General features: G+C 41.4%; 1 pseudogene across 2 annotated transcripts in view; it reads left to right on the top strand.

Moving 5' to 3' along the window:
• Positions 1-6,601, top strand: part of FAM239A (family with sequence similarity 239 member A) — a 31,360-nt pseudogene extending 24,759 nt beyond the window's left edge. For both annotated transcript variants that reach the window (NR_146581.1, NR_146580.1), the window contains 2 exons: positions 2,666-2,901; positions 3,804-6,601. The product of NR_146581.1 is annotated as a family with sequence similarity 239 member A, transcript variant 2 (transcript). The remainder of the gene's footprint in view (positions 1-2,665; positions 2,902-3,803) is intronic.
• The last annotated feature ends 5,973 nt before the right edge of the window (positions 6,602-12,574 follow it).

Raw genomic sequence — 12,574 nt, 5'->3', positions numbered from 1 at the left:
CCCTCCAAAATGTGGCAAAGCTCTGTGTATATTAAAAGTGTACTGAGGTCGGGCGTGGTGGCTCACACCTGTAATCTCAGCACTTTGGGAGGCCAACGCAGGTGGATTGCCTGAGCTCAGGGGTTCAAGACTAGCCTGGGCAAAACAGTGAAACCCCATCTTTACTGAAGTACAAAAAATTAGCCAGGCATGGCGGCATGCACCTGTAATCTCAGCTACTCGGGAGGCTGAGACAGGAGAATTGCTTGAACCCAGGAGGCGGAGGTTGCAGTGAGCTGAGACCTCGCCATTGCACTCCAGCCTGGGCAACACAGCGAGAGTCCATCTCAAAAACAAAACAAAACAAAAAATATACTGAAACATGCAACATCCACCTTTTCATAATAGTTCCCATGGCCTACACAAGTGAGTATGAAATGCTTAATATTTTGCTTGCCCTACATTTTCTTTTGCTGGAAGGGTGGTTCTGGATAAAAACTTTTTATTTTCCCGTTCTTTGCTTTTTCATTAATGCTATTTTCTTTGCCCCAAAGTTATAGAGTGGAAAAACTCCCAATCTCTTTTTCTTCTCTCTTGTATTTTCAGGTAGATGCATTCTATTACTATATTCTATCTATCCGTTCATTCCATCTATAATCTATCGTCTATTCCATATATCTATCCACCATCTATCTATCTATTCCATCTATCATCTATCTACCTACCTATTATTGTCTATCTGTCTATCTTTCTATCATCTATTCATTATCTATCTATTCTATCTACCTATCATTAATCTGTCATCTATTCCATCTAACATCTATCTACCTATTGTCTATCTTTCTATCATCTATCGTCTATCTACATTTACCTATATTGTTCTCTCTGTCAATCATCTATCTATCCATCTATGTATATATGTATTTATGAATGTATGTGTGTAATTTTCTATCTTCTAGTTATCCATCTGTCTATCTATCCATCCGTCCATCTATTTCTCTTATGTATACAGATAAATATATAATCTATATATCTTACATCTGTAACATGTTCTTTTTACTTTTATACATCAGTGACATTAATTAAATCCCACCTAATAAAAATTGTATTCTAAAATTTGGTGTAGTAGGAGGCTGAATAACCTGACCCTAGATCAAGGTACACATTGTGTGGCTGAAAATCACCTGGCTTTGTTAGACTTCATCTTTCTCCTACATAGGACTTGGTAGCCAGCCTAGAAAATCTCAAAGGTGCCTTCAACCTTTGAATGCATTGGTTCCATGGAAGCAGGAGGCTTAAGCTCTAGACCCATGGCTGTTGTAATTACACATAACTCAGGCATTGCCATAAGGGACCCTTAGGATGGCAGTACGACACTTGTTCCTCAGAATACCCTACATGCAAATTTGCCCTCCCAAGAGCCATATTTTACAAAGTGATAATCTTGGGAACATGGTCCACCCAAATGCCTCTGCCTGCAGTGGATTTCTGCAGACTTCAGACAATCTGGGCACCATCAAAGCCAAGCACTCCCTGGTGTAGTATCTAATAGGGACCATGTAATTAGGGCATGTTTTATGTGAGATTCTGCTCAAGAGATGTAAGTACAAGAAAAAGACAGCTTTTCACGGCAGAGATAAGATAATTGAGCTGTCTGGCATAGTGACTCAAAGCCATTGAAGGTTCTAGTCAAATGATTCCTCTGGTTTTGACTTTTTAAATGGCTCTTTCACTGTTGTTGCCTCTGGCAACTACCATTATAATTGGAGGAAATTTTGTTCCGCTAAGAGGCTACTCCATTTACGGACTCAAGCCAGACCAAAATAATGAAGCTCTCTTATAATCCCGGTATGTTTCCTGATCATTCCCATTTCCCTCTCTGGCTGTCCAGAAATAGACTCTCTTCCAAGGTATCACTTTTATTTATAGCCAATATGAAGGTCTTGTAGAAAAACACTGACTTCCAAAAACAACAGACGCATGTTGGCAAGAGTACAGAGACAAGGGAATGCTTATACACTGTTGGTGAGAAGTAAATTGTACAACCTCTATAGGAAACAGTATGTAGATTTCCCAAAGAACTAAAAATAGATCTGCCCTTTGACCCAGCAACTCCACTAATGATTATCTATGCAAAGGAAAAGAAATTATCAAAAAAGATGCCTATGCTTACATTTTTATTGCACCTCAATTCACAATAGCAAAATCGTGGAATGAACCTGAATGTTCATTGGATGAAGAAAATGTGGTATACACACACCAAGGAATACTATGCATCTATAAAAAAGAATGAAACTGTATCTTTTGCAGCAACATAAATGGAGCTGCAGGTCAATATCCTAAGTGAGATAACTCAGAAACAGAAAATCAAATACCACATGTTTTCACTTATAAGTGGGAGCTAAAAATGGGTACACATGGACCTATAGAATGGAATAACAGGCACTGGACACCTTTAAAAGGGGGAAGGTGGGAGAGGATGAGGGTTGAAAAATTACCTATCTGGTATTATGTTCACTGTTTAGGGGACAGAAGGCCAATCCCCACCACTAGGCAACATATCCATGTAACAAACCTGCACCCTTATGCTCTGAATCTATTTGTTTTTTCAACATTGACTTCCATGGTCACTATTTGTGAAATCACTCCTCATGAACCAGGACTTGCATGTTTTTTTGTTTCTCAGGTGAACTGTCACCCCTACAACTCAGCTTGCAACCAGCCCTGGCCACCACCAGTTTCCCCACACTGAGCTGAATATTGGACATGCCCATCTTAGACATTCCAGCCCATTCTGAAATTCCACATCGATTCACCCGACAAAGTCTGAAGTTCCAGGGCAATTTATCTGGAAAAGCTCACCTGGAATCATGTGTCATTTCAACCAACAACTGTTGAAGAGGACGTGGCATCAAAACCAAGGTTATCAATTATTTATAAGGGTTGTGTGGTGGTTGGTCCAAGCATCTCTCCTTCATGCCATCACTCCTTTCAAGAGCTGCCTCTATTTTCTAATTTAGCACAGGAATTTAGATGCCCCTAAATAAGTAGGCATCCAGTATCTGCCCACACCAGTTTTAGTGAGAGTACATATGGAGACACTACCACCACCCCTGCTCTCCTACTGCATACCCCACCATGCCAAAGCATGGTGGCTCACACCTGTAATCCCAGTGCTTTGGGAGGCCAAAGAGGAGGAACACTTGAGGCCAGAAGTATGAGACCAGCCTGGGCAACATAGTGAGACCTCATTTCTATAAATAAGTTAAAAAAACAAAAAAATAGGGCATAGTGGTGCACATGTGTGGTCCCAGTTACTCAGCAGGCTGAGGCTGGAAGATCACTTGAGCCCAGGAGTTTGAGGCTGCAGTGAGCTAGGATTATGCCACTGCACTCTAGCCTGGGCAACAGAGAGAGACCCCATCTCTAAAAAGAGGGAGAAGAAGGAAGGAGGAGGAAGAAGAGGAAGAGGAGGAGGAGAAATACTGCTCTTTCTCAGGCCCAAGGTAAAAAGGTTTTTGGTCTCATGTTGACCAGAAAGACATTGATATTTAATTAAGCAATATAAAAAGGCTCATTGTTAGGATTAAAGAGTAAGTAAAATCAATATTGAGATAGGAGGATGGAGGACACCAACTGAGTTCCGATCCCAATGAAGAGGAGAAAAAGCTACAACTATCTAGGTGAAATATCTACTTATCCTAGAAGAAGCCTTTTGACAGCAACATAAAATTCATACCTATAGGTTTTTAATTCCTATGGATGCCGTAGCAAATAACAAAAACTTGGATGGTGTAAAGTAACAGATGTTTACTCTTTTCCAGTATTGGAGACCAGGAATCTGAGATCAAGGTGTGGGCAGGGGTGCGCTCCCCCTGGAGGTTCTAGGAGAGGATCCTTCCTGCCTCTTCCAGCTCCTGGTGGCTCCAGGTGTCCCTGGGCTTGTGGCCACATCACTACATTCTCTGCCTCCATCTCCACGTGACCTTTTCCTCTGTGTCTGTGTCTCCTCTTCTGTCTCTTAGAAGGACACTGGTCATTGGATTTAAAGGCCACCTGGGTAATTTATAGTGATCTAATCTCAAGAATCTTTCCTTAATTACATGCAAATACTCTTTATCCAAATTAGTTTGCATTCACAAATTCTGGAGCTTAGTACTTGGACATATATTTTGGGGGGTTGATGGTTGGAGGGGCTTTTATTCAACTCAGTACATCTTAATAAGGAATTAATGCCCCCCAACTTGCCTTACAAGTCATATATTAAAAACAATGTTGGCCTGGCACAGTGGCTCATGCCCGTAATCTCAACACTTTGGGAAGCCAAGGGAGGAGGATCACTTGAGCCCAGGAGTTGGAGACCAGCCTGGATAACAAAGGGAGACCCAGTTTCTACAAAATATTTAAAAATTAGCCAGGCATGATGGTGCATGCCTGTGGTCCTAGCTATTCAGGAAACTGAGGTGGGAGGATCACTTGAGCCTGGAAGTTCAAGACAGCAGTGAGCTATGCTCACACCACTGCACTCCATCCTGGGCAACAGAGCTGGACTCTGTCTCAAAAAACATAACACTAAAACATCAAAATTAAAAAAAAAAAAACAATGAAAGTAGCCTCCACTTACAAACTAATTACTCTTTCTTGAAAATATTACACTTTTTTTCTTCTATATCTCTACTCCTAGCTCTCAACACCTTTCTTAAGCCCACATCATAACCTGTCTTGCATAACTTTGTGAGTGCCCAACGTTTCACTGTACAAGATTGTAGAGCTGCATGCTTCTTAAGAATAAATCCACACTTTAGGTACCAGTAAATCCATGCAATGCCTCAGACGTTATAACCAAATAATGCCTGGAAAATCGACATGAATTTATGTGAAGCATAAGCCTTTAATTTTTTTAAAGAAAAGTAGATTGCTGTTTTTCCACATCATTTCAGAGCCGTTCTCTAGTTTTGCATGCCCTTTACTGCAGAACCATACAGATTTTGTTCTCCATTTCATACATCATTTGTTGAAATGCCCTTTAAAATGTAACGGAATATAGAGCTTTATGGGAAAAAATGCTGTAGAAAATAAATTATCTTCTCTCTTTGTATTGGGAACCAAAAGGTCTCACCTTATTAATGACCACAGAGACTCTCCTAAAGCAATTCTGGAAGTCAAAACAGCTGGAGTCTAGTTTAATGGGAACCCTCATTAATTAGACAAGAACACCAAGGCTATGACCACAGCAGCTGGTAGCAGCAGCCCTGCAGTGAAGTAGACTCTCAGAGGACACAAGGAAAGAGTGTATTGATAAGAAATCTACAGCAAAGGTGTAGCACATCATCATTTGATCTTGATACACTTGACTGTGGGCAAAGTACCTGTTATGTAAAACATGCTTTGTTAGTTAGGGCCATGATAAGCTGCTTAAGCTGATGAATGAACACCAAATCTCAGTGTTTTTTTTTTTTTTTTTGGTTTTTTTTTTTGAGACAGAGTCTCACTCTGTCGCCCAGGCTGGAGTGCAGTGGGGTGATCTCAGCTCACTGCAAGCTCCGCCTCCCAGGTTCACGCCATTCTCCTGCCTCAGCCTCCCGAGTAGCTGGGACTACAGGCGCCCGCCACCATGCCCAGCTAATTTTTTTGTATTTTTAGTAGAGACGAGGTTTCACCATGTTAGCCAGGATGGTCTCAATCTCCTGACCTCATGATCCGCCCGCCTCAGCCTCCCAAAGTGCTGGGATTACAGGCGTGAGCCACCGCACCCAGCCCGTATTTTTTTTTCTAACAAATACCTGGTGTTAAGCCCAAAGTGTGTGTTTCTGGTTGGCTGGTGATGCTCTTTCAAGTCCTGAATCAGGGACCCAATAACTTTCAACATTGTGGCTCAGCTCTCTTCAACAGCTGCCTCCAAGTTCTCTTGAGATATTGGTATTTATCAGAGGAGAGGGGATGGAGAAGGTATATGCCTTTGCTAGAGCTGCCATAACAAAGGACTGTAGACTGAGGGGCTTAAACAACAGAAATTTATTTCCTTACAATCCTGGAGGTCGGAAGTCTGAGATCAAGGTGTGGGCAGGGCTGGTTCCTCCTGAGGCCTCTCTCCTTGGCTTGTAGACTCTGTGTTCTCCCTTTGTCCTCATACAGTCGTCTCTCTGTGTGTGTCTGTGTCCTCATCTCTTCTTATGAGGTGTCTTAGTCCATTTCAAGCTGCTATAACAGAACACCATAGACTGCAGGGCTTAAACAACAGACATTTATTCTCCCATTGTCTTGGAGGCTATCTATCTACCTATGTAGCATCTATCTACCCATCTATCTATCATCTGTGTATAATCTACCTATTATCTATCTATCTACTTATCATCTACTTATCATCTACCTATCATCTGTCTATTTTTCTGTCTATCATCTATCTACCATCTATGTATCTACCTATCATCTAGCCATCTGTCATCTATCATCTATCACCTATCATCTATCTGTCTCACCTATCATTTATCTATGTATTTGTGTATCATCATCACCCAGCTATGAACTATCTATCATGTATGATGTATCTATCATCTATGTATCTACCTATCTGTTATTTTGGTCAAATATACATAATATAAAACTCACCATTTTAACCATTTTTAAGTGCACGGTTCAGTGGCATTAAGTGGATTCACACTGTTATGCAACCATCACCACCACCTATCTCCAGAACTTTTTTAATATCCTCAGTGAGATTCTGTCCCCATTAAACACTAACTCCTCATGTTCCCTTCCCCCAGTGCCCAGTGCCCACCATTGTCTCTATGCATTGGATGACTCTAGAGACTTCACATGAATGGACTCATAGAGTATTAGTCTTTTTGAGCCTGGCTTATTTTACTTAGCATAATGTCCTCAAGGTTGATCTACGTTGCAGCACGTGTCAGAATTTCCTTCGTTAGGGCTGAACAATGTCTCATTGTATGGATGGACCACACTTCGTTTATCCATTCCTCTGCTGATAGACACTTGGGTTGCTTCCACCTCTTGGCTACAGTGAAAAACAGTGTTACGGACATAGGTTTACAAGTATCTCTTTGAGACCCTGCTTTCAATTCTTTTGAGTATATACCCAGAAGTGGAATTGCTGGATCCTATGCTAACTCTGTGTTTAATTATTGGAGAAACCACCACACTGTTTTGCACAGGGGCTGCACCATTGAGCATTTTCACCAACAATGCACAAAGATTCCCATTTCTCTACATCCTGGCTGACACCTGCTATTTTCTGGATTTTGTGAATCGTAGCCATCCTAGTGGGTGTGAAGTGGTACAGCTTTTATTTAACACTGAAGGACACAGCACAGCAAGAGAGAGAAAAAGTGTGTGCGCAGGCCAGCATTGGGATACAGAGAGACCCTTGTGCAAGATCCCAGGGTTCGTATTGATGCATGAATTGAACCACCTAAATATAGTGAAGCCATACTGACTTCACAAGTGGTTAGGCCAGTTGCAAGCCATCAGTAAAGAAATTGACCCTCAAGGGATTTCTTGCTTTTTTTTTTTTTTTTTTGAGATGAAGTTTCCCAGGCTATAGTGGCATGGCATGATCTCAGCTCACTGCAACCTCTGCCTCCTGGGTTCAAGCAATTCTGCTGCCTCAGCCTCCTGAGTAGCTGGGACAACAAGTGCGTGCAACAACACCTGACTAATTTTTTTGTATTTTTAGTAGAGACGAGGTTTCATCATGTAGGCCAGGATGGTCTTGAACTCCTGACCTCAGGTGATCTGCTAGCCTTGGCCTCCCAAAGTGCTGGGATTACAGACGTGAGCCACTGAGCCCGACCAAGGGATTTCTTAATTGTACATTTTAAAAGAACTTAAAGAATGTCATTGGATTGTTTGTAGCTGAAAGGATAAATGCTTCAGGGGATGGATATCCCATTCCCCATGATGTGCTTCTTTCACATTGTATGCCTGTATCGAAACATCTCATGTAAGGCTGGGCACGGTGGCTCATGCATGTAATTCTAGCACTTTGGGAGGCCAAGGCCAGCGGATCACTTGAGGCCAGGAGTTCGAGACCAGCCTGCCCAACATGGTGAAACCCCATTTCTACTAAAAATACAAGAATTTGCTTTACATGGTGGTGCACACCTGTAGTCCCAGCTACTCAGGGGGCTGAGGCAGGAGAATTGCTTGAACCCAGGAGTCAGTGGTTGTAGTGAGCCAAGACCACATTACTGCACTCCAGCCTCGGTGACGGAGCCAGACTCTGTTTCATAAAAAACAAAAACAACTCATGTACCCCATAAATACATACACCTACTATGTATCTACAAAGATTAAAAATTAAAATTAAAAATTTTAAAAAAGAAATCTTATCCCACCATGCAAAGCAAAGAACCACTCTATTCTACAATTACCAAGCCCAGTATGAGACTTTAAGCAACATCTCATAAAACCCACTGACCGTGGGTCAAAGACCAGACCTCTAGTAGTTGCAAGAGATAGATAGAGCTTGTCCAGTTCAGCTATAAATCAATTTTATTTCCACAGAGGGTCACACAGCCCTTTCAAAAACAACCATATTGGATCAAACACAAAATTCGTAAAAAATATTCCTCCTGTTCCCCCAACCTCAAAATATATGTTGAAGGTCATATGGCCAGGGGCAATGCAGATTCAAAGCCACTATTGTGAGCTGCATTGACTATACCACCATGTAATTCATAATGTGTTGAAAATCAAATGCTCATGATAAATGATCATTGATTAGGGCCCCTAGTTGTGAGTGTACCTATATTTTTTCATTCTATAAAAGCAAATATTAAATCAACATGAAGAGTAAATAATTACCCATATTATATTGAGAGGGTGAAATTGGTTTATATTCCATATGGAGTTCAATTGATCATTATTTTCATCCTTGACACTTGGGTTTATCCATTCTCCAAACCACCACTTTGGAAGAGCAAGTTAATATACAATTACTGCTAAAAAAGGTACATACCTCCAATTTTGTGTTGTGTTGACAATTCCACTTGTTTGTTCTGTCCTTCTGATTGGGAGTATTATTTTCCTAGGTCTGTTTTAACAAAGTTCCATAAATTGAGACACTGAATGAGTCTCAATAAATGTGCATTCTCACATTTCTAGAGACCAGAAGTCTGAAATCAAGGTGCGGTCCGAGCCACACTCCCTCTGAAGGCTCAGCCTGGCCAACATGGTGAAACCCCATCTCTACTAAACATACAAAATTTATCTGGGCATGGTGGTGCGCACCTGTAGTCCAAGCTACTTGGGAGACTGAGACAGGAGAATCACTTGAACCCAGGAGGCAGAGGTTGCAGGGAACAGATATCGTGCCACTGCACTCCAGCCTGGATGACTGAGCAAGACTCCATCTCAAAAACAAAAACAAAAACAAATACAAAAACAAAAACAAAAACAAAAACAGAGACTGATGCTCACAGATTGTGTATTCCAGACCACCAAGTTAATTCAGCATTGGCAGTGACATCATGTTCTTCCAAACAGCATCCCCTTTCTCCTTCTGGGTACTGAATTTTTGTAAATGGCAAATGAATTCCTTCATTAAGCCACAAACAGTGACATGACAGCTGCAAATTCAGCCATCTATAAGGTTTCCAGATAAAAGACACAACACCAATTAAATGTGAATTTCAGATAAATACTGAATAATTTTTTAGTATCCATATGCCCCCAGTGTGACATGGGGCATACTGATACTCAAAAATCTGTTACTTGGCCAAGTGCAGTGGCTCACACCTGGAATCCTAGGACTTTGGGAGGCTGAGGTGGGGGGATTGTTGATCCCAGGAGTACAAGACCAGCCTAGGCAACATGGTGAAACCCTGTCTCTACAAAAATACAAAAATTAGCTGAGCGAAATGGTGCACACCTGTAGTCCAACTACTCAGGAGGCTGAGGTGTGGGGATCGCCTGAGCCCGAAGAGGTAGAGGCTGCAGTGAGCCGTAATCACACCACTGTACTCCAGCCTGGGCCACAGAGTGAGACCCTGTCTCAAAAAATAAAAATAAAAAAGTAGAATAAATATAATTAAAATTTAAAACATTTTAAAATGTGTTATCTGAAATTTAAATTTATTACAATTTTTATTTGCTAAATGTGGCCACTCCAAGTGTATGGAGTATTTATTCTACCATGCAGTTTTTAACACTTGCATCTCTGCATCTGCTTCTGTTCCAGGACAGAGAAAAACTAACACATTTCTGCTGTATCTAAGAATATGTAGATATACCTGTGTTTTGATTCTTTCTGATTTCAGTACTAAACATCCCTCATTATCATTCTCAGGGAAAAGATGAATGTAGAATCTCTGCTGAGCTAGTATTTCCTGACACCCTGTTTATGTGCCTTGTGAATTGTGGGCATTGCCATGTGGGTTATTTCATTTCATCTTCACAATCACCCTCCAAAAGTAAAAAACAAAGACTGCCTCACTCAAATGTCCACTGCCATCAGTGCCCCATGAGTATATATACGGTGCCAAGCTCTGCCATGATCTCTCCAGAGAAGAGGAGTAAAACCAAAGAAGTGAAGACGTGTCTGACTGGAAGGGAACATCTGTGACACCTTCTTTTCCAAATGTTCTTAAAGTTTAAGCAGATTATTGTAAAGGAAATATGAAAGAGTTAGTACTTAAAAAAAAACCTCCTTGTATCAAAATGTCCCATTCCCAGCCTCTATTCAATTTCAATCTTTTAAATGTTTGTTTTCATATTTACAATCATGGTGCTATGTAATATTCTTACACTACAGTTTCAAGATTTGTCAATTTTACGCCTTATGGTTATTGGGGATTTGGTCTTGAAACTGAGATTGCAGAATTATAAGAAATGTGAGAAATCTTGGCTGGGTGCGGTGGCTCATGCCTGTAATCCTAGCACTTTGTGAGGCTGAGGTAGGCAGATCGCTTGAGGTCAGGAGTTCAAAACCAGCCAGCCAACATGGTGCAACTCCGTCTCTATTAAAAAAAAAAAAAATTAGCCAGGCATGGTGGCGGGTGCCTGTAATCCCAGCTACTCGGGAGGCTGAGGCAGGAGACTCACTTGAACCCAGGAGGCAGAGGTTGCAGTGAGCTGAGATCACGCCATTGCACTCCAGCCTGGGCAACAACAGCAAAACTCCATCAAAAAAAAAAGGAAAAGAAAAACAAATATGAGAAATCTAACGTGACTGACTCCATCTTCCATCAGACCTCACAGGCTAAATTGTTTTGTTTTTGCTTATTCTAGTGTGGCAGCCAAGATAACTGCGTGAGGAAGTTAGTTTATAGTTAAAATTTGAAGCCAGGTGTGGTGCCACCCAGCACCTTGGGAGACCGAGGCAGGAGGATTGCTTGAGCCCAGGAGTTGGAGAACAGCCTCAGGAACATAGTGAAACCCCTTCTCAAAAAAAAATTTACAAAAATTAGCCAGGCATGGTGGTGTGCACCTGTAGTCCCAGCTACTCAGGAGGCTGAGGTGAGAGGATCGCTTGAGCCCAGGAAGTTGAGGCTGCAGTGAGCCAAGATCACACCACTGCACTCCAACCTGGACAACAGAGCAATATTGTGTCTCAAAAAATAATAAATAAATAAATAAATAGTAAATAATTGTGTATATATATTTATACACACACAGAGAGAGTGAGAGAGAGAGAGAGTTAAACTCTGAGGCAAGGAAACTGACCCCACTCCTTGACTGCAGATTAAAGCCACATTCAGAAAACAAGGTTAGAATTACTGTAGGGGCTTGAACTTTGCTAAAGAATAGGCATAGTTAATCAATGACCTGCCATCACTTAGTGTGTTTTCATGTAAGTTGTTCACTGCACCAGAGTCATGTAACCAGGGATCACAAGATGTATAACTTCCCAAACTACTCTTGTAGATAACATTACTATTGTAAAACCTAAACAATGGTCTTTGAAATATTTTTCAGATTTAGCATTTTGGCAGACCAAGAGATGCCACCTGGTCCTGAGATACCCTCTCCTGGGAACTAACTCACCTGCAGAAAGACAGTTTTAGACACCCCTGAGATTTCATCCATAGTCTATCAGTTGTTGCAGTTCCCCAGGCTTCTGCCCACAAAAGTACCATGAAAAACCATAGTTTCCAACTTTTTAGGGAGACAGATTTGAGAAACCTCTCCTATTCTTCTCAATTAGCTGTCCCTGCAATTATTAACCTCCCTCTTTGCTGCAACATCTGCTGTTCTCAGTGCACTGGGTTTTTGGGGGGCAGCAGGAAAGAAGAACCCCTCAGACTGTGACACTCTCCTGCCTGCCTTTCCATCCAATCACAAATGTCCTTTCCCTCCTACCACATTCTTGTAAACATTTAGGTCACAATATTTGGTTTAAGAAATCATCAGTGTTTCCATTATAATGACCATTGCAATGATATTCAAAGATGAACCAGTGACTACAATGATTATGTTTTCTTTCTTTCCTTTTTCCTGGAGTTAGTAATTGCCTTTTTATTTTTTGGAGACAGGGTCTGTCACCCAAGCTAGAAGGCTGGAGTGCAGTGGTGCAATTATAGCTCACTGCAGCCTCAAACTCCTGAGCTCAAGTGATCCTCCCAACTCAGCCTCTGGA

This window comes from Homo sapiens, chromosome X (genome assembly GCF_000001405.40).
Source record: "Homo sapiens chromosome X, GRCh38.p14 Primary Assembly".
Lineage (NCBI taxonomy): Eukaryota > Metazoa > Chordata > Mammalia > Primates > Hominidae > Homo > Homo sapiens.
The sequence above is the reverse complement of the archived record's forward strand: the minus strand, read 5'-3'. Positions and strand labels throughout refer to the sequence as shown.